Consider the following 22,211-nt stretch of genomic DNA (forward strand, 5'->3'; position numbering starts at 1 on the left):
CCACCTCGGCCTCCCAAAGTGCTGGGATTACAGGCGTGAACCACCGCACCCGGCCTCTCTCTTTTTCCTTTATTTCCTTTCTTTCTTTCCTTTCCTTTCCTTTCCCTCCCTCCCTCCCTCCCTCTCTCTCTCTCTCTCTCTTTCTCTCTTTCTCTCTTTCTCTCTCTCTTTCTTTCACAGTCTTGCTCTGTAGCCCAGGCTGGAGTGCAATGGCGTGATCTTGGCTCACTAGAACCTCTGCCTCCCAGGTTCAAGCGATTCTCCTCCCTCAGCCTCCCGAGTAGATGGGACTCCAGATGCATGCCACCATGCCCAGCTAATTTTTTGTATTTTTAGTAGAGATGAAGTTTCGCCGTGTTGGCCAGGCTGGTCTCAAACTCCTGACCTCAAGTGATCTGACCCACCTTGGCCTCCCAAAGTGCTGGGATTATAAGCGTGAGCCACTGCGCCCGGCCTCTTCCTTCCTTTCACTGATGCCTGCTGTGTGCCTGCCCTGGCTGGGCTGGCTGCTACCACTAGGCAGGACTGTGACACACACCCCCCTAGCAGTGCTCCCAGCCGAGTGAAGCCCTCCCTAAGGTTGATTTGATGAGAAGGGAGCATAGGAAAGGCCTGTCTCTAAGAGAGGAGGCCTGATTTTCTCTCCTGAGCTGGGAGCAGAAAAGTGGAGTTGTTTCCCAGCTCTGCTTATAACCATGGGACCAAAGTCTCTTCTCTCCCTGGGCCTTGCTCTGGGCAGTGGGGTGATGGAGAGAAGCTCTACAGACCTTCTCAGTGCCTTTGTGCTGGGTCATGTGATAGATCTAATATGATGGCCAGGGAGGGGCTGCTGGGGATGGGCAGCCTTGGCAGGTGGAGGCAGGGCAGTCTGCAGGCACTAAATGTTTTGTCTGCCATCGCTGGCAAGACTCCAGCACCTAGAGGATTAAATAGGGCATACAAATAATAGCCTTACTGTGGTGCCTGACTCTTAACTGGTGCTTACCAAATGGAATTCTCTTCTCCCATGCTAGCTCCCTGAGGGTGTAACTGGCACCTGCACACATCAGCCAGATCCCTCCCTTGCAGCAAGATTTTGGGTTCCTGGAGGATGCCTGCCATCCCCTACAGCCAGGCCCACCTCCAGATGGGATGATGGGTGGGCTCTTTAAGGAAACTGAGGGTCTGGGGCAGAGAAACCTCAAAAGAAGAGGAGCAACTGGAATGCTCATCCATTGCCGTTGGCAGTTTCTTATGACATCATACGCTCTTACCTTCTGAGGCAGCTACTGCATTCTGAAGATTTACCCAACAGATATAAAAACACATTCTCACACAAACGTGCACAGGATTATTCATAGCATCTTTATTCATAGTAGCCAAAAACTGGAAACAACCCAAATATCCATCAATAGGAGAATAAATAAACCAGTGTGGCCTATCCATCCATACAATGGAGACAACTACTCAACGATAAAAAAGAAAGAACAACTGTTACACAGGGCAGCGTGGAGGAATCTGGAAAACATTATATTGGCTGGGCGCAGTGGCTCACGCCTGTAATCCCAGCACTTTGGGAGGCCGAGGCGGGCGGAGCGCTTGAGCCTAGGAGTTAGAGACCAGCCTGGGTAACATAGTGAAACCCTGTCTCTAAAAACAAACAAACAAACAAAAAAATAGAAAAAATCAGCCGGGCACGGTGGAGCATGTCTGTAGTCCCAGCTACAACTTGGGAGGCTGAGGTGGGAGAATCACTTGAGCCTGGGAGTTGGAGGCTGCAGCGAGCCGTGATGGCGCCCCACTGCACTACGGAAGGAGAACAGAGCAAGACCCTGTCTCAAAAAATATACAAAAATAAAAAACATTGTATTGATGAAAGGAGGCCACACACAGAAGAAAACACATGTATGACGACATTTGGGTGAAATTCTAGGCCAGCAAAACTGATCTCTGATGATGGAGGTGAGAACGGTGGTTACTTCTGGGCTAGGGGACATTGGCGGGGAAGGGGCACAAGGGAATCTCCTAGGGTGAGGAAGTTTGCTCGGGGTCACGGTTACACAGGTGTGCACCTATGTAAAATTCATTGAGCTGTATTATGCATTCATGATTGCTGTAGTGTACCGAATGTAAGTTACTCCTCAGTAAGAGAATAAGCCTCCAGGGTATGCTCGATAGGAGGAGTCTCTTGGGAGGGAGCAGCTGCAAGGAGGAGCAGGCAGTGGCCCTGGGCCTGCATATTAGTGCTTCCTTTTTTCAACTCACCCTGCAGGCCCCTGGCTGAGAATTGAGCCTCCTGGTCAGTGATAATGGGAATATCTAACCCACTGGCTGGGGAATAAGGTCATAAACATGTAAATGGCAGTTTACAGCAGGGCGATTTTGGTGGCTTTTATCACCAGTATGTCAGTGCCTTTTATGGCAACTCATAAATATACCTCCTATTTAGTTTCAGCAGATTACAGCCAAGGCCAAGTCATGCCCTCAAGTGGGCTGGACCACATGTCACCTCCAAAGGGCTTTTCTGAGGCCCCAGGACTGCCTGGCAGGAGTGGGACCAGAGGGTCAGCTGTAGCCAACCTGGCTGGAGGAAGTCAGCCCAACACTTTCCTTTGGGGATCCTGATGCAGGAGGGGACAGGGCTTGACCTTAGTAGACCCTCACAACTGCACCCAATATGAGCCAACCTTGTGGTGTCTTCTCCCTAAGCTCAGCCCATCCACTTCTCCCTTCCTCCAAGCACCAGCCCTGTCTCAGACTGCCCCCCATCCATGCTAAACTTCTGAGCACTGGCTCTGCAGGAGAGACCCCCCCCACCAAGGTACCCACATACACTCACTGGGCACAGAGACCACAGTCACCGTTTATTGGGCACCTACTCGACACGGTGCCTCCTGCCCAGCAGCTGTCCACCTCACATGTGTGTGGCACTCATCAGATGACCTGTCCATGGGTGGGTTCCTTTAATCCTCACCACAACCCTGCAAGGTAGGCAGTATTCTGTCCACTTTACAGGTGACAGAACAGAGGCTTTCAGAAAAGTCACCTGGCCATTGTGTCTCCACCTAGCCAGGGTTAGACATTTTCCAACATAACATCCAAGAGCTGCAGCCAGGCAGAAAGCCTGGTCCTGGCCCTGTCCCCTGCACTCCCTCTAGAGTCAACCTCTCCAGGTGGGGCAAAGGGAAGCGAGAAAATACAACAAAGGATTTAAATCCAGAATGTACAGATGGTCCCTGACTTATATGGCTCAACTTGGGATTTTTTTTTACTTTACAATGGTGCAAAAGTCATACACATTTAGTAGAAATCATACTTCAAGTATCCATACGACCATTCTGGTTTTCACTTTGAGCACAATATTTGATAATTACATGAGATATTCAACACTTTATTATAAAACAGGCTTTGTGTTCGGTGACATTTTGTTGTTTGTTTTTGTTTTTGAGATGGAGTTTCACTTTTGTTGCCCAGGCTGGAGTGCAATGGCACAATCTCAGCTCATTGCAACCTCCGCCTCCCAGGTTCATGCGATTCTCCTGCCTCAGCTTCCTGAGTAGCTGGGACTACAGGCATGTGCCACTACGCGTGGCTAATTTTTGTATTTTTAGTAGAAACGGGGTTTCACCATGTTGGCGAGACTGGTCTCGAACTTCTGACCTCAAGTGCTCCGCCCTCCTCAGCCTCCCAAAGTGCTGGGATTATAGGTGTGAGCCACTGTGCCCAGACTGTGTTAGGTGACTTTGACCAACTGTAGGCTAATGTCAGTGTTGTGGGCATGTTTAAGGCAGGCTGGGCTAAGCTATGATGTTCAGTAGGTTAGGCATATTAAATACATTTTCATTTTACAGTATTTTTAACTTGTAAAGGGTTTATTGGGATGAAACTCCACAGCAGGTTGAAGAGCATCTGTATAAAGATCTACAAATGAATAAGGAAAAGATAAAAACCATAGTGGAAAAATGGGGAAAGGATATAAGCAGATTCTTCATGGTAAAAGGAAATAAATAAAATTCAGAGAGGTGAGGGGGAAAAAGAAAAAAAAGGAAATAAAAATGATCACTCAGTAAGAAAAGATAAGCAAACTCATAAGCAATGAGACAAATTCCCATTGAAGAGAGAGGTTTTAGCAAAGTGTTAGTACAACAAGTGCCTATGCTGGGGGTGGGCACAGGCTTTTTGGAGGGTGACTTAGCCCCTGCCCCCCAGCTCAGCAATTCTACTTCCCAGCGCCTCCCCGTAGAGAGCCTGGCAGAGACCTGCACTGTGGCGGCCACTGCAGTGAGCTGTAACAGCACCGCTGAAAACAGCCTGGATGTCCAGCAATAGGGGATGAGGTAAACCCTGTGGGTTTCCCATATATGCACAGCCTAGTGGCAATTACAAGGACTGAGGAGGGAAATGTTTGGCTTTGGGATGCTGTGTGTCTATGGAGACAGACTACTCCCCACTGTGCCCTGCAGCAGAGCAGGCTCTCTGGGAGGCACCCTAGCTGTGGATTCAGGAAGATGGGGCTGGCTAGATGTTTCCTGCCCTGCTTGGAGGTTGGCTTCCCCCATCTCCCACCTGCCCCCATCCCAACCCAAACCTAACTGCAGTGGTTGGGGATAAAGGAGAAAATAAGTCTGGGTGTGATAGCTCATGCCTGAAAATCTAAAACTCTGGGAAGCACAAGCAGGAGGATAGCTTGAGCCCAGGAGTTCAAGACCAGTGTGGACAACATAGTGAGACCTCGTCTCTTGAAAAAAATCAAAACAGGCTGGGTGCGGTGGCTGACGCCTGTAATCCCAGCACTTTGGGAGGTCAAGGTGGGAGGATTGCCTGAGCCCAGAAGTATGCTGGGATTACAAGTGTGAGCCACCATGACCAGCCCTGTATTATGGTTTTTTTTTTTTTTTTTTTTTTTTTTGAGACGGAGTCTCACTCTGTCGCCCAGGCTGAAGTGCAGTGGCACGATCTCAGCTTATCGCAACCTCCGCCTCCCGAGTTCAAGCAATTCTCCTGCCTCAGCTTCCCGAGTAGCTGGGATTACAGGCATCCGCCACCACACCCAGCTAATTTTTGTATTTTTAGTTAGAGACAAGGTTCCACCATGTTGGCCAGGCTGGTCTCGAACTCCTGACCTCAGGTGATCCACCTGCCTCAGCCTCCCAAACTGCTGGGTGTATTATGTTTTTAAAGTAAAAATGCATTCATGTATTTCTTATATAATAAGCCACTAAATAATTTTAAAAGTTTTTTTTTGGCCAGGTGCGGTGGCTCACACCTGTAATCCCAGCACTTTGGGAGGCTGAGGTGGGCAGATCACCTGAGGTTAGGAATTCAAGACCAGCCCGGCTCAGCCTTCCAAGGAGCTGGGATTACAGGCACATGCCACCACGCCTGGCTAATTTGTATTTTTAGTAGAGACAGGGTTTCACCATGTTGGCCAGGCTGGTCTAGAACTCCTGATTCAGATGATCCGCCCACTTTGGCCTCCCAAAGTGCTGGGATTACAGGCATGAGCCACCAAGCCCAGCCAAAATGTTTAAATTAGTAAAGAAAGAAAATTCTGGAATTTTTTGTAGAGGTGGGGTCTCACTAAGTTGCCCAGGCTGGTCTCAAACCCCTAGGCTCAAGCAATCCACCCAAAGTGCTGGGATTACAGGCAGGAGACACTACACCCAGCCTAAAAATTTTTTTTGAAAGCTTAAAACAAGGAAGGAAAAGGGAAAACGGAAGCTAAGGAGACCAGTGAAGAAGCTGTTGGCAAAGGGTGGTAAGACCTGAGCCGGCGTGTCCCCATCTGTGAAATGGGTACACCGATCCCTATGGTCACTGAAGCTGTTGAGAGGACCCCTGCGCTAATGAGAGTGAACTCTGCAGTCTGTGAGGTTGGTGCCCCAGATACTTAGCTGGAGGACAGGACTCTGCCCAAGTCCCTTGTATGGGCCTACCTATGGGGCCACCCTCCTCGCTATGCCTGATCCTCACAGGTTTCAGCACACTGGCCCCAGGTCACAGGGGCCGACCTGGGACATAGAGAAAGATCCAGCCATGGGGCTACCTCCCAGAGCAGACACCAGCCCTTGACGGGCCCAGCAGCCATGTTGGGTCTCCATGCAATTTAGTCTTATGAGCCACAGCTCAGCTTAGACTCAGGCTCCAGGAATAGGTCCCCAAGACACTCTCATTCCCCAGTGGTTCCCAGCAGTATTGGGACAACCAAAATCAGCCTCAAACTGCTCAGGCCTTCCCCAGGGATATGACACTTAGCAGCTCCTGGGGCTGCCCAGGCTGAGAACTACCTATCCCCAGCCCCAGGTAGAGAGCCCCAAGTCTGGCTGTAAGAACAAGGTGAAGCCAAAGACTCAAAAGCAGGTCCTTGCCTCCCGTGACTGCAGGCACAGCCCAGTGAGGGGCAGCAGGGCTGCCAATGGTCCCCTGAATTGGCACCCACTTCCTGGGTTTAGCACCACTGTGGCCTCAAGAGGCCCTAAAGGAGGGTTGTCATGGCATGCACCATGGGTTCCTCACATAGTTCCTCTGGCCCAGGGGAACACGTGTCCTAGAGGCAGCTGCTCCTGGCGTCACTGTTGGTAGGTCCAGATGAAGGACAGGCCTCTGCCTGGGAGTGTCAGGATGCAGAGAGGCTGCCTCATTCCTGCTGCGGCAGCCAGGGTCCCCACACACTCACACTCATGTCAGCGAGGTCACAGGAGGTCGTCTCTACATGAGGCTGTGATAAGGCTGCGTGGGAGCCTGCATGCAGGCTCAGCATCATCCTGCCCGGGCGGGAACCCTGGTCCACCCTTGCTGTAGGACTTCAGTCAAATGACAGCCTCTCTTGACCCTCAGTTTCCCCAACTGCAAAAGTAGCACCCGACAACATGCACTGACCCCCCAGGGCTGCTGGGCGTGCTTGGCTGATGGTTCACTCTCAGAAGTATCTGTCCCTACCCACCTCGTAGGTGCGGTCAGGTGAGTTCTTCTCTGCCTCTGTTTCCACACTGCACCTGGAAGAAGCTGGAGGACCTGCTCTCCTAATTGCTCCTCTACCACTGATGTTGTAAGAAGGGGACACTGACTTGTCACTCTCTGCCAATGTAGGAGCCAGGCACTGTCTCTGTTGGCTCAGGGCTGGGCTCCCAGGAAGTAAAAGCCTAAAGGCTCAGGGAGGCCATTTAAGGTCTAGGGTCCAGTGGACTTTCGGACGCATCGCAGCCTCCGCTGAGCCCTTCTAGCAGGCTTGTGGTGACTGCACCCTGGGGCGGCTGCTCCATTGTTTCCTGTCAGTCCCGCTCATCTGCTCAACAACCCTTTGGAGGAAACACACAGGAGGGTCCTGCCCTCTAGTGGCTGCCGGCGGCCAGGTCTCTCCTCACAGGGCTCCGCCCGCGACCTCAGAGGAGCCCACCGCCCTCTCTGCCTGCTCTAGTGCCTGCCGCACAGCAACAAGCAGGCATTTCCTGGGGGTGAAGCCGAGGCTGGCCCCATGAGCTGACACCCAGCAATCTTCATCTCCGAGCACCTTTGAGTCCTGGGGGGCCCTGCTTCCAGATGTGAGCCCCCAGCCCGTGGGGCTGGGTGGTCCTGGGCTGTGCCACAGGGTTTCAGCCCACCGCGAAGGAGGCCTGACGGTGTCCAGGTCGAGGGCACCTGTGGGCAATGATTGACATAACACTGCAGAGAGAGAGCCTGGTGGGGCACCGGCCTCTGCCCAGGCTGGGTTCCGGGGCCTTCCCCCATGTGCCCACATCCCATGCTTCCCCCGTTACAGCCTCTGCCGTCAGACTGCGCACCAGCATCTGTGGGTGAGGAGAGAACCTGGGCTGGGGCTTGACACAAAAGGGGCTTTGCCTCTGGACACCCCCACCTGTGCCGCAAGTGGAGGGGGCGGGGAAACGGGGAGGAGGGAAAGTAAGCGGAAGTCCCGCCTCTGTGGAAGCGCCTCTGCACCCTTTGTCCCCCAAGGGAAGCACAAGTGTGTGGCCAGTCAGATAAAGCAGGCCTTTCCTTGCCTTTATGGAGCCACGGGCTGAGGCTGGACCAAGGGTCAGTGAGGGGTTCAGGAGGCCCCCTCTGCGCCTCTCTTCCAGGCCCTGAGCCCATCATTCCCTTCGTTGTTAGAGTGAAACTGTGAAGAGCCGCAGCTCTGTGCCGGGCGAAGAGGATTTGGCAGTGAAAAGGATGAGCTTGCCTTGCCCTGGGGGCAACTGGCACCTGGGGTAAGAGGTGGCCGGTGAGAGCCTGAGCCCTCTGGAGAGCAGAGGCCCCGTTGTGCACAGAGCCAGTATACCCAATGCTCGGGGAGCTCCCAACAACCCTACCCAGCCCTGCGGGAGACCACAAAGCTCTAGGGAAGAGCCTGTCCCAGGAAGCACAGGGCTTCGAAGTTCTGACAAGGACATCGGAGTTCCAGGCCCACCCCACACATGCACACACTTCCTGCTTCCAATTAGCACTAATTGGACGACTGGGAAAACCCACAGACCATGAAGCAGAAGCAGTTAGGTCTGCGGGGCCCCGGTGAGGCAGGCCCTGCGAGGGCCCAGGTGAGCCAGGCTCTGGGGGATGGGCCCTGGGGTCTCTGTCTCTCTGAGAGGGGATCAGGTGATCAGGGCCACATCTGCCAGGATCCCTACTGGCCCCTCTGGAAGACGGAAATTGTCCCAGGGCCAGGGCAGAAGCTGGGTGTGGGGGAGCCTGACAAACACCCCCTCTCAGCCTGGCATTTAAGGCTCCCCTAAACCTGGCCCTACCAGCATCCCCCCTCCCAACCTGGTCTCTTTCATTTCTTCTGCTCCTAGTTCTCACTGCCTAAGTCACCCACTGATTAATTCTTTATGTCACTCCATCTATTCATGTATTACGTGTCCAGGAGCCCTCCTGTGGCCAGATCCTGGGACCACAGAGATGGATGTGCCAGGCTTGGCTGGTCAGGTGGACCTTGGAGCCAGGACCTTTTCCAGGGTCCCCAGAGCACTGGATGGTCAGAATCAAAACAGGGCTAAGGCAGGTCCAGGGGAGGGGAGGGTCCTGATGCTCACCTCCTTCCTACTTGAGCAGCCCTCTCTCCTACCACCTATCCAGCTAGGCCTGGGCCCAGGTTGGCAGAGACCACATTGCAGGGCAACCCCTCTGCTGGCTCCACTTCATTCTTGGTGGGAAGAAGGAGGCCAGGCTGAGCACTGCATGCGTATGAATAGAAGTATCAGCTTTGCTTGGCACTCTCTGGGTGAGGCTTTGTGTCCCTTGATCCTTTAGACCGCACTCAGGGTATGTGCCAGGCTGTGTCCACATCCATGGCCAAGCTCAAGACAGAAGCTCTGCCAGGAACAGCTAGGACTAGGGGGCAAGAAGAGAAGCAGGCACCAAATCTGAGCTGCTCTGGGGTGGGTCTAGCCCGTGGGGAGAAGCAGGGACTGGCCCTTAGCAAGAGGCTGGCTCTGGAACTTGCATGCTGGAGTAGTCTGGGCCCCAGCCCCAGAGTGAGGGCCCCGAGTCAACCCTTTATATAATACTGCATGGCTCAGGCCCTCAGCCCTGAGCAGGGGTAGTGAGAACAAGGCCCCTTGCCCCACAGGTGTATGTCGGGCCTGACCCTTGGGCCCCGTTCTCCAGAACATCCCCACCACAGAGACAGAGGCTCAGCTCCACTCCCTTCCCTTCCCCTGCTTAGAGACCAACCTGGTCCTGGGCAATTTGGTGTTGCCATGACAACCACATACTTTCTTCTTCCCCACTTAGCCGATTGAATCTGAGTTGCAGATGAAATCCTGGTGAGTTGTGTGTTTAGAAAGCATGCGGCCATTTGGAGTGCTCCATGCATCTTTCATCTCCCAGACACCTCTGACACCCATCCCTTGTCTCTTGATGGCTGAGGGAGAGGATATGCGGCCTGTACCCTCTCCCTATGCCTGGGGTAGTCCTGGCCCAATGGCACAGCCTCCTTGAGGTACAGCCTCTGGCATGCAGGAACACATGGATGACATTCTCATGGGCAGCCTCTGTGGTGAGTGGGCCCTGTGAGCTGGATGGCAGTCACCAGGAGCCTCCGACAATGCATAGTCCTCTCCATCGTGAGGCATGTGGTGTCTGGGTAAGAGCTCTTGACTCAGGAGGCTCTCTCTGTCCCCTTCAGGAATGTGTGCTGCCCTTAAGGACTTGGGCCACCAAGACTGGGAGTTGCTGGCCAGGGGCCCCCAGCATCATCTTAACCTTCATGCATTCCCTAGGGCTGACCTTAGCCTCCTCTGACCAGCAATGAAGAGTCACCTGCAGCACAAAGCTGGCTGGGAGCAGGCTCAGAGCTCAGCCCCGAGATGGGGGAGACGAGACACAGGGAAGTAGTAAAAGTGGCCCCATCTGTGATGAGCAGGGTGCTGGTGGCCCTGGGAGGCAACCTCAGCTTGGCAGTTGGGTAGGGCTGGTTTAGCAAGTTTAAGGGGAAGTTAACATGGGGTGATCAGAGAAAAGTGGGGCTGGCTCTTTCTCCGATCTGCCTGGGTGGGGGATGGAAATCAGCATGGGGCATCTTACCAGGAATGGTCACCCAGGATGGACAGGGAGACCTGCCTCTGTCCTCTACACTCAGGGCCTGAGGCCCCTGCCCCACACTGCAGATGTTAAACCCACAAAGTGGTCCCATTTGTGTGGCTGCCGCCCCACTGGGCTGCAGCATCCTGGGCAGGCGGTTGGCCCTTGAGCATAACTGTACCTCCTTATCTAGGCCTGCATTTCCACCCGGATCTTACTACCTCTCTGAGCCTCAATGTCTTCCCTCTGGGGAAGGGAGGCAGGGGCAAACGGATAGGTTGGTAAGAGTGGAATAAGTAGTGAGGGGTTCCTGGAGCAATGTCTCCAGGGAAAGCACACCTGCTGGGTGTATTTGGTCAGATTTGTATGATTTTGTAGGGAAGAATATAAAGTACAAATATAAAAAAGCAAATAAAAAAGACAGATAATTATAGCTTGAGGAAAAACAAAGAATCATAGCAGAAAGGAAATAGAATACTACTTGGTTTAGCAGAAAACAATGTTTGCGTAGCGTTAAACATGTAAACACTGAATATCAACTTACGCCAAATCATAGCATTTGAAGGATGGGGAGGAAATGTATGGAGAGGTGGCTATCAGCTCATTTTCCATAGTAGGAAATCAATGTTCTAAAGGTGAAAGAGGCAGGGTGCAGTGGCTCATGCTTGTAATCCCAACAATTTGGGCCAAGGCAGGAGGATCGCTTGAGGCCAGGAGTTCAAGACCAGCCTGGGCAACATAGTGTGACCCCATCTCTACAAATCATTTTAAAATTAGGCATGGTAGCACACACTTGTAGTCCCAGCGACTCGGGAGGCTGAAGTGGGAGGATTGCTTGACCCCAGGAGTTTGAGGCTGCAGTGAGCTGTGATTGTGCCACTGCTCTCCAGCTCAGCCTGGGCAACAGAGGGAGACCTCATCTCAAAAAAAAAAAAAAAGAGTGAAAGAGTCAAAAGAACTGAAAGCAATGGGTCAAGAAGAGGGGAATCAGTATTTCCAGCCTTGCAGTATTGCTCAACCTTAAAACTATGGGTCAAGAAGAGGGGAATTAGTATTTCCAGCCTTGCAGTATTGTTCAACCTTTAAAACTATGTACCATACGTGTATTGTTTTGATCAAAAGAGAAATTAAATATAAAAGCAGGTAGGATTAATATAAAACCTCTTAAACACTGAGGCTTGAGAGGTTTAGTAAACTGCCCAAGATCATGGTGTAAAGGACACAGCAGAGCTGGAACCTACACTAGGGTCTGTCTGTGCCAGAGCCCACAGCAGGCATGAGCGTGGAGTGATCTTGTCAAAACCTTAGAATCCACCCTTGGACCAGGCAGCTCAAAGACCTTCCCCAAGCACCAATGCATGCTACAAAGATGAGCCTCCAGCATAAGGGGCTGCACCCCATGCCTGTGGGCAGGGAAACAAGGCCCTTGAGCAAACCCCTTCCAAAGCCACTAGCCCACAGAGGCCCTGTCGCCCACAGAAGGAGCCAGAGCAGTTGGCAGAGCCCCTTCCTCGGCTGTTCCGCTTCTGTTTACTGGGTGGCTTTTGTTCCCTAGCTTCCCATCCAGCTAGGCTGGTTAATCAGATTCTCTGAGGGGAGGGCTGGGGCATCAGTGACTTTACTGACACCCAGAGGAATTGCTTCTTGGGAAGCAATTACTTGTGACAGGTGCACACTCCCAGCGGCTGAGCTTGTCTGTGGCTGAGGATGCCGTGGAGCCTGGGGGGACAGGTCCTTGTTGCTGGCTTGTGCTCAGCAGGGACACCAAGGTCCACTGCTCCTCCATGGTTTTCTTGGCCTCTGCAGGAGGAAAGACTGTCAGCTGAATGACCAAGTGACAGGTTGCCACGATGTCACAATTAATACAGACCATTGACTGGGAGGCTGGCATCATGCAAAGCCCTTTTCAGATGTGGAACCCAGGCGATCTGAACGGTTTGGCCCACTGACCTACAGGTCCTGAGTCTCAGGCTCCAGGCTGGCTGGTCATCAACTCAATATGACCTGGGCAGGCTCCCTTCCATCCTAGGCTCTCTTAGGGGCGAGGCTGGGGCTGAGAGGCGGTGAAGTTCACTCTCAGGGTTCATCAGCAGGCAAAATGGAGAAGGAGACCAGGCTCTTGGAGGACTCTGTGTCAGGATATTCACTTAACAGTTTACAACATAGAAAGTGCTGGGAATAACCTGCAATGGCATATTATAGTAAAAAAGGATGCTGTGCAGGACAGTGTGAGCACGGCACAGGTGCGTACCACGGGCAAAGTCAGGACTGGCCTCGGGCAGGACATGGACCCAGTGTTTCTGTGACTTTCTGCAGGGCACTGGTTGCCCTCAGGATAATTTGTAATTAAATAGCAAGAAATACATAAAATACATAATATCAGGAGATAAAATCACTTATCAGGAAAAATAACACATGGTATAGAATATTTTAAACTTGGCCAGGCACAGTGGCTCACGCCTGTAATCCCAGTACTTTAGGAGGTCGAGGTGGGAGGATCAAGAGTGTGAGACTAGCCTGGGCAACATAGTGAGACCCCATCTCTACTAATAATTTTTAAAAAATTAGTCGGGTATGGTGGCTCATGCCTGTGGTCCCAGCTACTCCAGAGGCTGAGGCTAGAGGATCACTTGAGCCCTGGAGATTGAGGCTGCAGTAAGCTATGATTGCATCACTGCACTCCAGCCCAGGCAGCAGCTCCAGATCCTGTTTCAAAAAAAGGAATATTTTAATCTCCACCGTGACCTCTGTGCTGGACTAGCTCCCCTGCAGGACCCAGGCTCCAGCCTTGGTATGCACAGGCCCACTGGCTCTCCAACTCTCCATTCCACCCCAAAGAACTGCTGAACCCCAACTTTTCCTTGGCCCCACAATGGCCCTGGAGCAAGAGTGAGCAGGGATTATTAGAACCTTCTGCAGATGGAGAAAAGGCAAAGCTACCTGCTAGATCTCACAAGGAGTAAAAGGCAGGGCTGGGATCGGAATACAGTTCCGGGCTCTCCAGCTCTGTTGATTGTCTGGATCAACAGCAGGTCCTCTGGCCCAGTGGGCAGTGGGGATGTGGTAAAACATCATTTCCAAGCTTCAAAGGCAACCAGGACTCCTGCACAGTTGAAGGGAATGTCCCACAGACGCTGATAGAAATGAGGGAGGCCTTTAGCAGTGGGCTGTCGGATCAGAACCAGGTACACTCAGGTCACGGCTCTTTGACAATGAGAAGGAGGAAGAGGAAGGCCTGATGGATCCCCACTACTCAGATATGACCCACACCCCAAATGTCCATGGCCTCACACCTTCCCCAAGGATCAGCGCTGGGCCCAGACACATCTGGTGTCTCCCTGATGTCCACAAGTCTGTAGGCAGAACACTCTTCCCTTCCCAGGAAAACTCCACCTTATCAATAGTGTTCAGGACAGCACCCTAGGCTGGGCACAGTGGCTCACATGTGTAATCCCAGCACTTTGGGAGGCTGAGACGAGTGGATCACCTGAGGTCAGGAGTTCGAGACCAGTCTGGCCAACAGGGCAAAACCCTGTCTCTAGTAAAAATAGAAAAATTAGCTGGGCATGGTGGTGGGCGCCTGTAATCCCAGCTACTTGAGAGGCTGAGGCAGGAGAATCGCAGAGGTTGCAGTGAGCCTAGATCGCACTACTGCACACCAGCCTGGGCAACAGACCACGACTCTGTCAAAAGAAAAAGACAGCACCCTCTGGGCATCCTAAATTCAAAGCTGCTTCTGGCAGGAGAAACCAGTCCATCTTAACCTGGCATCCTACATCCCAGTGAAGTAAAAAAAACAACAAAGCAAATCAGTGTTTGCAACAAAACAAAACTCAGCAAGTTTCTGGATCAGCCTGTGATGAGTGGGTTCAAGGTGAGGACATTGGCAATTGGTGGGTGAGGCCATGTGGGGGTGCAGGGGTGTCCTCGTGGGCCACCGTGGCCCGGGCCTTGGAAAGCCGAGACCAGGAGAGCTCATGCCTGTGGCCACCCAACACATGGCAGGGCCCATTCATGCCTTTCCACTTTCTTCAGAAACTGCCACAGCAGCTGTCCCTCCCTGGACAAAGCCACCTTCTTTCCTGACGCCAGGGCCCCATTTTCTTTCTGTCTTAATCTAAGGCTGATGGGAAATATAAACAACTAGCTGAGGCAATTTCTGAAATTGGTGGAAATCATTTAACAAGCTTCTGGAGCATCCCTTCTTGTCCTGGGGAGGTGTGCGGAATGTGTGTCTGAAAGAGCATTTGCTGGCAGCCATGGCGTTTCTTCCCCGGGCCTAGTCACTGGGGTTTCCAAGGCTAAGGACACCTCAAATCCACATCCAGATGCCTGGCTCTGCACAGTCTCCCTGCCTGACACCCTTACCCGCCAAAGCTCCTGCAGGGCCAGCTGGGCCTAAAAGCAGTTTTCGTTTCTTCTTCACCTGCAGCTTCGTCTTTCAGGAGAGGGTAAAGCAATGTTTCCATTGGAATTTTAAAAGATGCTCCACCACCACGTGCACTTCTGTGGACTGGGGTTAGGTGGGAGGAGGAAGCAGTAGTGGGGAAACAAACGATTCCAGGGACCACAGTCCCTCTGTAACCTTGTGTTGGGCAGATTTAAAATTCCACTCGTTCAAGTCCACTAGGCTAGAGCTAGGCATCCCTGTCTAGTGCTTTACCTACCTCCTCTCACTCCTTACTACACCCTATGAGGCAAGTGCTATTGTGCCCATTTTTAGATGAGTAAACTGAGGCACAGGGGGATCAAGCACTTTGCTCAAAGATTCACAGCTTGAAGGGGGTAGGGTAGCAGGGTAGCTGGGCTGGGTCCAGTGACTAGGCCTGGGGAAGCAAAGCCACAGCTGCCTCAAAGCCCTCTCTGGACACGTTTCCCTCCCCGCCAAACTCCTGGCCCCACCACACACACCTGCCTTTCTAATTCTCAAGGGAGAAAGAATATAGGGCTGTTGCAAGAAAGGACGAGGAGCCTGATGGGGACAGAGCAGCCTAGGGGGGTCATAAGAACAGGGCCACCAGGCCTGACACAGGCGAGTGCCTCCCTGGCTGGGGCATGGGGAGAGGTGTGAGGATGAGGCTGGGCAGTGCTGGTTCCAGGGCTCCTGAGGACATCATAAGAACCAGCCCAAATGAAGCCAAGGGAAAGAAACGGTGACCTGAGTTCATCAACGCCATGCATTCTAGGCCAGGTGCCTTCTGCAGGTAATGGGGCTAAAGGAAAAGCCATTAAATCATGAGTATTTATAATGCCCTCGCCCTCCCTCCTTTGCTGGCTCAGCCACAGCAGGCCTTTGAGCTGGATCATTAGGGGTGAGGGTGGAGAGGAGCAGAGCCTGGCACAGCCATAGAGGTGAGGTGCAGGGTGTAGGGAGAGAACTACCTCGGCACGGGGATTGGAAGAGGAAAGAAGGGTGGATGTGGGTCAAGTGGACACCCAGGAAGCCTTGCTGCGGCTTGGGGTTTCCAAGGCTTTTGGAGCTGAATTTGCCTCCCATTTCTGTTCTCCTTTCATCTTTCCTGGACCACGTAAGGTGGGTGACAGATGAGGAAACTGAGGCACAGAGAGGCAAGATCTCCTGCCCATGGTTCCAAAGTGAGGAATTAGACCCGAGAGGCCAAAAGTGAGGTGCCTTCCCACTCCTTGGTGGTGCTGCCCAGGGTCAAAGCCCCAACAGTCAGGGACCCTGGGATATACAAAACCTTTTCTTTGTAATGTACCATAATTTTTTTGGGCCAGATTTATTTCTCCCAAATATTTCTTATCATGCCAATGTTTGTGCGAAACAATTACCCTAAATTCCTTAAGATGGGATGAAGACAGAGGCAGGGGAGGAACTGTAGAGAAAAATAAGCCATGGAAGGTCAGGGATGGATTGAAAACAAATCCTGTGGGTTCCAAACTTGCTGGATTTTTAGTTTTGTTTTGTTTTTGAAACAGAGTCTCACTCTGTCACCCAGGCTGGAGTGCAGCGGTGTGATCATGGCTTATTGCAGCCTCGACTTCCCGGGCTCCAGTGATCTTCCCGCCTCAGCCTCCTGAGTAGCTGGGACCACAGGCGAGAGCCACCACGCCCAGCTAATTTTTTATTATTTATAGAAACAGAATCTCCCTATGTGGCCCAGGCTGGTCTCAAACTCCTGGGCTCTAATAGAGGGAGGAACTTGGCCAGCCGTGGTGGCTCATGCCTGTAATTCTAGCACTTTGGGAGGCCAAGGTGGGTGGGTTGCTTGAGGCCAGGAGTTCAAAACCAGCCTGACCACATGCAAAACCCCATCTCTACTAAACATACAAAAATTAGTTGAGTGTGGTGGTGCACACCTGTAATCCCAGCTACTCAGGAGGCTGAGGCAGGAGAATTGCTTGAACCTGGGAGGTGGAGGTTGCAGTGAGCTGAGATCGTGCCACTGCACTCCAGCCTGGGTGATAGAGCAAGACTGTCGCAAAAAAAGTAAAATGAAATAATAATAACAATAATGATAATAATAATAATAGAGGGGGGAAATTAGCCCAGAGCTAAAGGGGGCTGTGTAATCAGACAGTCCAGGGGTTGACCCCAGTTGTGTGGCTCAGGGAAAATCGAGTCACTTCTCTGTGCCTCCGTTTCCTCACCTGTAGCCCATAGATAATAGATGGAGTCTGTTGTGAAGATCTCACAGGTAACACCTGTAAAATGTGTCTCCCCACAAACCCGGCACATGCTCAGGGCTCTGTAACTGCTGGAGTGGGGAGACTTGTTCAAGGCCACCCACGAATCTGAGAAGGGCAGTTGGGTGGGGGTGGGGAAGTATAATGGAAGGCATGGACGCAACATGCTGTGCCGTTTAGAAGATGAAATACACATGAAGCAAAACCCTGTTCGTGTACTTCAAAAGACAGACACAGGGCCGGGCATGGCGGCTCATGCCTGTAATCCCAGCACTTTGGGAGGCTAAGGTGGGAGGGTCACTTGAAGTCAGGAGTTCAAGACCAGCCTGGCCAAAATGGTGAAACCCCATCTCTAATAAAAATACTTTAAAAAAATTAGCTGGGTGTGGCGGTGGGCACCTGTAATCCCAACTATTCGGCAGGCTGAGGCAGGAGAGTCACTTGAGCCTGGGAGGCAGAGGTTGCAGTGACCTGAGATTGCGCCACTGCACCCCAGCCTGGGTGACAGAGTGAGATTCCATCTCAAAAAAAAAAAAAAAAAAAAAAAGACACAGGCTGGGAGCAGTGGCTCACGCCTGTAATCCCAGCACTTTGGGAGGACAAGCTGGGAGGATCACTTGAGCTTAGGAGTGTAAGACCAGTCTGGGCAACATAGTGAGACTCTGTCTCTACTAAAAATTAAAAAAAAAAAAAAAAATTAGGCAGGTACTCAGGAGGCTGAGGTGGGAGGATCTCTTGAGCCCAGGAGATTAAGGCTGCAGGGAGCTATGGTCATGCCACTGCACTCCAGCCTGGGCAACAGAGCAAGACCCTATCTAAAAAAAAAAAAAAAAAAAGTAAATAAATAAAAGACATGGTCGCAGGTGGATTTCTCCAGTGATGGTGCAGATGGAAGAAGTGCTGAACACAGGGCACCCCTGGGGTCCTTCCACCCAGGGCCCGGCGCTTGGCCCTGTGCTTGCAGATCTGCGGCAGGCAGAGCTGAGAGCAGGCAAAGACAAGTCACCACTGTGCTTGGGCATCCTGCCCACCAGCCCCACCGGGCAGCCAGAGCTCCACATGGTTTCCATCATGGTTACAAAATAAACAAATGCAAGTCACTCTGTCCCTTCTGTGGCCCCCCACAGCCCGACATCTGCACATCTGCGAGAACATTCTCTCGTCATTAGAGAGATGCCACTTGGGGATCTCAGAAGCCATGTGGGGAAGACAGAAACCTTCAGCTCTAGTTCAGGAACATTAAACACACCATGCTATCCCAGTTTGTTCATAAAATTCTTGTGTTAATGTCCTAGGGGAAACAAAAAGGATAGCTATTTTAGCAGCATTCTCTAGTTTGGTTGGGATTCTGTGTGGAGAAGAGCTCTGTTTTCCTTCTGGCTGCAATGTCTTGATTCTCTGGGTCTTTGTGGTTCTCCCTGCATGGCCCTGCCGGGCTCTGGTGAGGGAAGATAAGAGTGTGCTCCAAGGCTGGCGAGGCTGGGGTTTTCGTCTGCACCTGGTGAAAGGACTGGCTCCTACATCACCAGCTTCCCTCTGAATATTTTCAGAATTCTCCTGGGAACAGTGGTGGACAACAAAAGCCTTCTGAAAGAGGTCCTCTGGCACCCCTTATGCCATTCCCCTGGTGTTACCTTTTGTGATTTTCAAATGAAAGGGCAAAGAAGTGAGGAGTAGATGAGCCGGGAACAAAACTGGCGCTGCCCGCAGACAGTCATGCTTTCATTTCAGGCTCCCCCTGCTCTCCCACCCCACATGGCCACGTGGAAGCCGCACACTATTAGTTCCACATAATTGGAAAGGGTGTCAGGATCTCCCAGACATTAACCAGAAACATGCTGCTCAGTTGTCACCTCCAATGTGACTAATGCAGCCGTGTCTTAATTAGTCACTGCTCACTGACTGCGATGACAGCTCCCGAGCCTGTTCCAAGGCCCCAACCTGTGATGGGGCACTGCAGAGCAGATTAAAGGTGAGAGGCCGCTGGGAAGGAAGGACCAGGAGTTGCCAGTTTTTCAGGTCTCTTTCCCACTGAGCACTGTGAACCCAGGTGGCCTCTGCCAAACCCCTTTGTCAACATTGTGACAGTAGAGTCAATAGGGTCATAACATTGGGACACATTTATTGGAGGGAGAGAAGAAATGTGACAGGGAAATGGTCTAGAAGATTCCTTCACAAGTCAGCTGTTATGTCACGGGTCCCCATGCAGCTCCCTGGGGAAGGGGCGATGAGGGATGAACCGTGCCACTCTGACTGGCCTACACCTAGCAAATGCTGCTCAGGCCAGGGTGGCCCATCTACTGGCTAATGTATGACCTGTGATCTACAGTGGCTGTCTTATAATCTGTGCCAGTTCCATTTCTCCTGCAGGGGCTTTGCACTCAGAAGCAAGGAGGAGGGAGGGGGCTGGGGGCGGGAAGTAAAAGGTGAGAGACTGCCCCCTCAGTGGAAGTGCCTAGGCCTCTACCCTGAGAGCAGTAGCCATGTCTGGGTCCTCCTCCTCTCACTGCCCACCAGCCTGAGGGCTGGCCTGCTGTCTGGGCCCCAGGAAAAATGAGAATCACCCCACGGTGAAGCCGGGAGAAGCAGAGAGGGCTGGGAGCTGCCCCAGAGCCTGGCCCCTGCCAGCCTCACAGTGAGGCAGCCTCCAGGCACCACCTCCCTGCTCCTGGCATCCCCTTCCCTCCTTCCTAAGCGCCCAGGGCCCAGTGTTCATTCGGCCTCACAGGTGGAGCACCCAGGGCCCTTTAACTCTTCAGGCCCCTCAGAAATGAGATGAAGACAAAATTTACTGGCTCCGAAATAGAACGTTTCAAAATTGCTTTTTCAATGCTTTTTCAATTGCTACAGAACATACCACCATATCAGTTAGGCAGCCACCACTCTTGTGTCCTTATCCTTATATACGATTGTGTTCAACATGGGACATGATATACTGCAATAGGTTCCACAAGCTGGGGGTGGGGTCTCCAAACGTGTGTGGAGCCTGCAGAGGTAGGGACAGAGTTCCGGGCACACTTACTTTGCCGAGCATCTATGACTTGCAAGGAAAGACCTAATTCGCACATCTCACCTCCAGCACTTTCTTTTTAAGCCGCGCTTCCCAAGAAGAATGGAAAAGTCAACTGGTGAAGAATCGACTGCGCTGGAACAAGGGCTAACTGCTGCTAATTCATCTGAAGGATAATTGAGAAGTATTTATAAGTCTTCCTTCATTAGGCCCCTAAAGGAGGCTGAACTACATTAAGAGCCCATCTTCCCAATTGTGCTCTGATACACCCAGACAGTTCTGGTTAAAAATGAGTAACACTAAATAATGGGACTGATTATGCCAAGGTAATTGGGGACTGACTGATAATGCAAATCAGTAAGTCTTCCCTCTCCTCAAATTCTTCAAGTAAAACACCTTTTCTGCCACCTTGAAAGCTAGTTAGCAAATGAAATATTTACAACATTAAGGACCAATTCACTCAGGTAAGTAAATAATAGTGAAGCAAATAATTTTTCGTCTGCATCTGATTGTCTCAGAAGTCTCATTTCCAAATTAAATACACAAGTCTCAGTTACTTCCTGGACACTCATGGAATATTCAGTAAATAAATTTTAGAGTAGTGATCTTGTTCAGTTGCTTTTTTTTCTTTTTTACTTATTTTTTTGGAAACAGAGTCTCGCTCTGTCACCCAGGCTGGAGTGCAGTGGCGCGATCTTGGCTCACTGCAACCTCTGCCTCCCGGGTTCAAGTGACTCTCCTGCCTCAGCCTCCTGAGTAGCTGGAATTACAGGCATCTGCCACCATGCCCGGCTAATTTTTGCATTTTTAGTAGTGACGGGGTTTCACCATGTTGGCCAGACTGGTCTCAAACTCCTGACCTCAGGCGATCCACCTGCCTCGGCCTCCCAAAGTGCTGGGATTACAGGCGGGAGCCACCGCGCCCGGCTTTCAGTTGCTTTTTCTAGTCCATTGTGTTTCATTGTCTTTGAGAAATTTCTAGGGGACCCCTGATACTTGAGCCTTAGCTCATCTTCTTTCCAAATCTGGTCCTTTCTGACAGGCTCCACAGGCCTCCCGGCTTCCAGTGTGCCTTCCAGAACTCTTCCTTAGGGCCACTGAGAACCTTGTGCAAGCAGCTTCATGAGTCCGTGGGTCAGCTCCCAAAGGTGCTCAGGATCGAGCTGCTGGTGGAAGCTCTCCTCACTAGCAAGCCCCCTGCACACCCGTCTCACTTGCCATCGGTGCCTGGCCCCCATAAACTGCAGGAGTGTGTAAATATGTGAAGGAGGCCAGGCGCGGTGGCTCACGCCTGTAATCCCAGCACTTTGGGAGGCGGAGGCAGGCAGATCACTTGCGGTCAGGAGTTCCAGACCAGCCTGGCCAACATGGTGAAACCCCCTCCCTACTAAAAATACAAAAATTAGCCAGGTGTGGTGGTGCATGCCTGCAGTCCCAGCTACTGGGAGGCTGAGGCACGAGAATTGCTTGCACCTGGGAGGCAGAAGTTGCTGTGAGCCAAGATCGTGCCACTGCACTCCAGCCCGGGCAACAGAACGAGACTCTCTCAAAAAATAAATAAAATATGTGAAGGATATCCCCTGTTCGGATTCTCTCTCTTCTTTAGTCCCCACCCCGTTTTCAGCCATGGCTCTTCTAAGACTAGGCCAGGGATCATGCTGCCCCTGATTTCCCACTGTGAACTGAACTCCATCCATCCCAGAGGCCACACAGCAACACTCACAGCTCCCACCGTCCGGGCCTGCCCAGCCTCTCACCTGAGCCCCTCCTCCTCCAGGTTCTGGATGCTCCCAGCTCCTGCCTGTCTCTTCCTCAACATCAAAAGCTGCTCAGGAAATAATTTTTTTTTTTTTTGGAGTGGGGGGACAGGGTCTTGCTCTGTCATCCAGGTTGGAGCGCGAACATGCTCATTGCAGCCTTGAAATCCTGGGCTCAAGCAATCCTTTGCACCTCAGCCTCCCGTATAGGAACTACAGGTGCGTGCCACCACGCCCAGCTAGTTTTTAAATTTTTTTGTAGAGATGGGGTCTCCCTGTGTTGCCCAGGTTGGTCTCAA

The 22,211-nt window shown here is 51.9% G+C and overlaps 1 protein-coding gene across 4 annotated transcripts in view, besides 4 other annotated features; it reads right to left on the reverse strand.

The window, feature by feature from the left end:
• Positions 1-1,321: 1,321 nt before the first annotated feature.
• RFT1 (RFT1 glycolipid translocator homolog) overlaps positions 1,322-22,211 on the reverse strand; it is a 63,583-nt gene continuing 42,693 nt past the window's right edge. Inside the window, exons 12-14 of one of the 4 annotated variants that reach the window (XR_007095765.1) lie at positions 12,157-12,297; positions 9,649-9,838; positions 1,322-7,617 (exon numbers count right to left, since the gene is read on the reverse strand). Coding sequence is in view for 3 of the 4 variants with exons in the window: in XM_011534214.3 (XP_011532516.1) it covers positions 9,754-9,838; positions 12,157-12,297 (226 nt within the window). In the remaining variant the exon portion in view is untranslated. Of the gene's footprint in view, positions 9,839-12,156; positions 12,298-18,407; positions 20,322-22,211 lie in introns of those variants that run through there. The other 3 variants (XM_011534215.4, XM_011534214.3, XM_006713384.4) reach the window with 3 other exon arrangements.
• Positions 7,112-7,161: an enhancer, noted in NCBI's record as "active region_19950". NCBI's record gives its function as "activates an Ori minimal core promoter by ATAC-STARR-seq in GM12878 lymphoblastoid cells {active_cell/tissue: GM12878}" and the evidence as "EXISTENCE:reporter gene assay evidence [ECO:0000049][PMID:35858748]".
• Positions 7,402-8,019: an enhancer, noted in NCBI's record as "H3K4me1 hESC enhancer chr3:53106949-53107566 (GRCh37/hg19 assembly coordinates)". NCBI's record gives its function as "activates a minimal SCP1, AML or CMV promoter by ChIP-STARR-seq in primed H9 embryonic stem cells {active_cell/tissue: H9 hESC(primed)}" and the evidence as "EXISTENCE:reporter gene assay evidence [ECO:0000049][PMID:30033119]".
• Positions 7,512-7,631: an enhancer, noted in NCBI's record as "active region_19951". NCBI's record gives its function as "activates an Ori minimal core promoter by ATAC-STARR-seq in GM12878 lymphoblastoid cells {active_cell/tissue: GM12878}" and the evidence as "EXISTENCE:reporter gene assay evidence [ECO:0000049][PMID:35858748]".
• Positions 18,962-19,256: a silencer, noted in NCBI's record as "tiled region #3047; K562 Repressive DNase unmatched - State 8:EnhW". NCBI's record gives its function as "represses a minimal TATA promoter and a strong SV40 promoter by Sharpr-MPRA in K562 cells {active_cell/tissue: K562}" and the evidence as "EXISTENCE:reporter gene assay evidence [ECO:0000049][PMID:27701403]".

The sequence above is a fragment of the Homo sapiens genome, chromosome 3 (genome assembly GCF_000001405.40).
Source record: "Homo sapiens chromosome 3, GRCh38.p14 Primary Assembly".
NCBI classification, from domain to species: domain Eukaryota; kingdom Metazoa; phylum Chordata; class Mammalia; order Primates; family Hominidae; genus Homo; species Homo sapiens.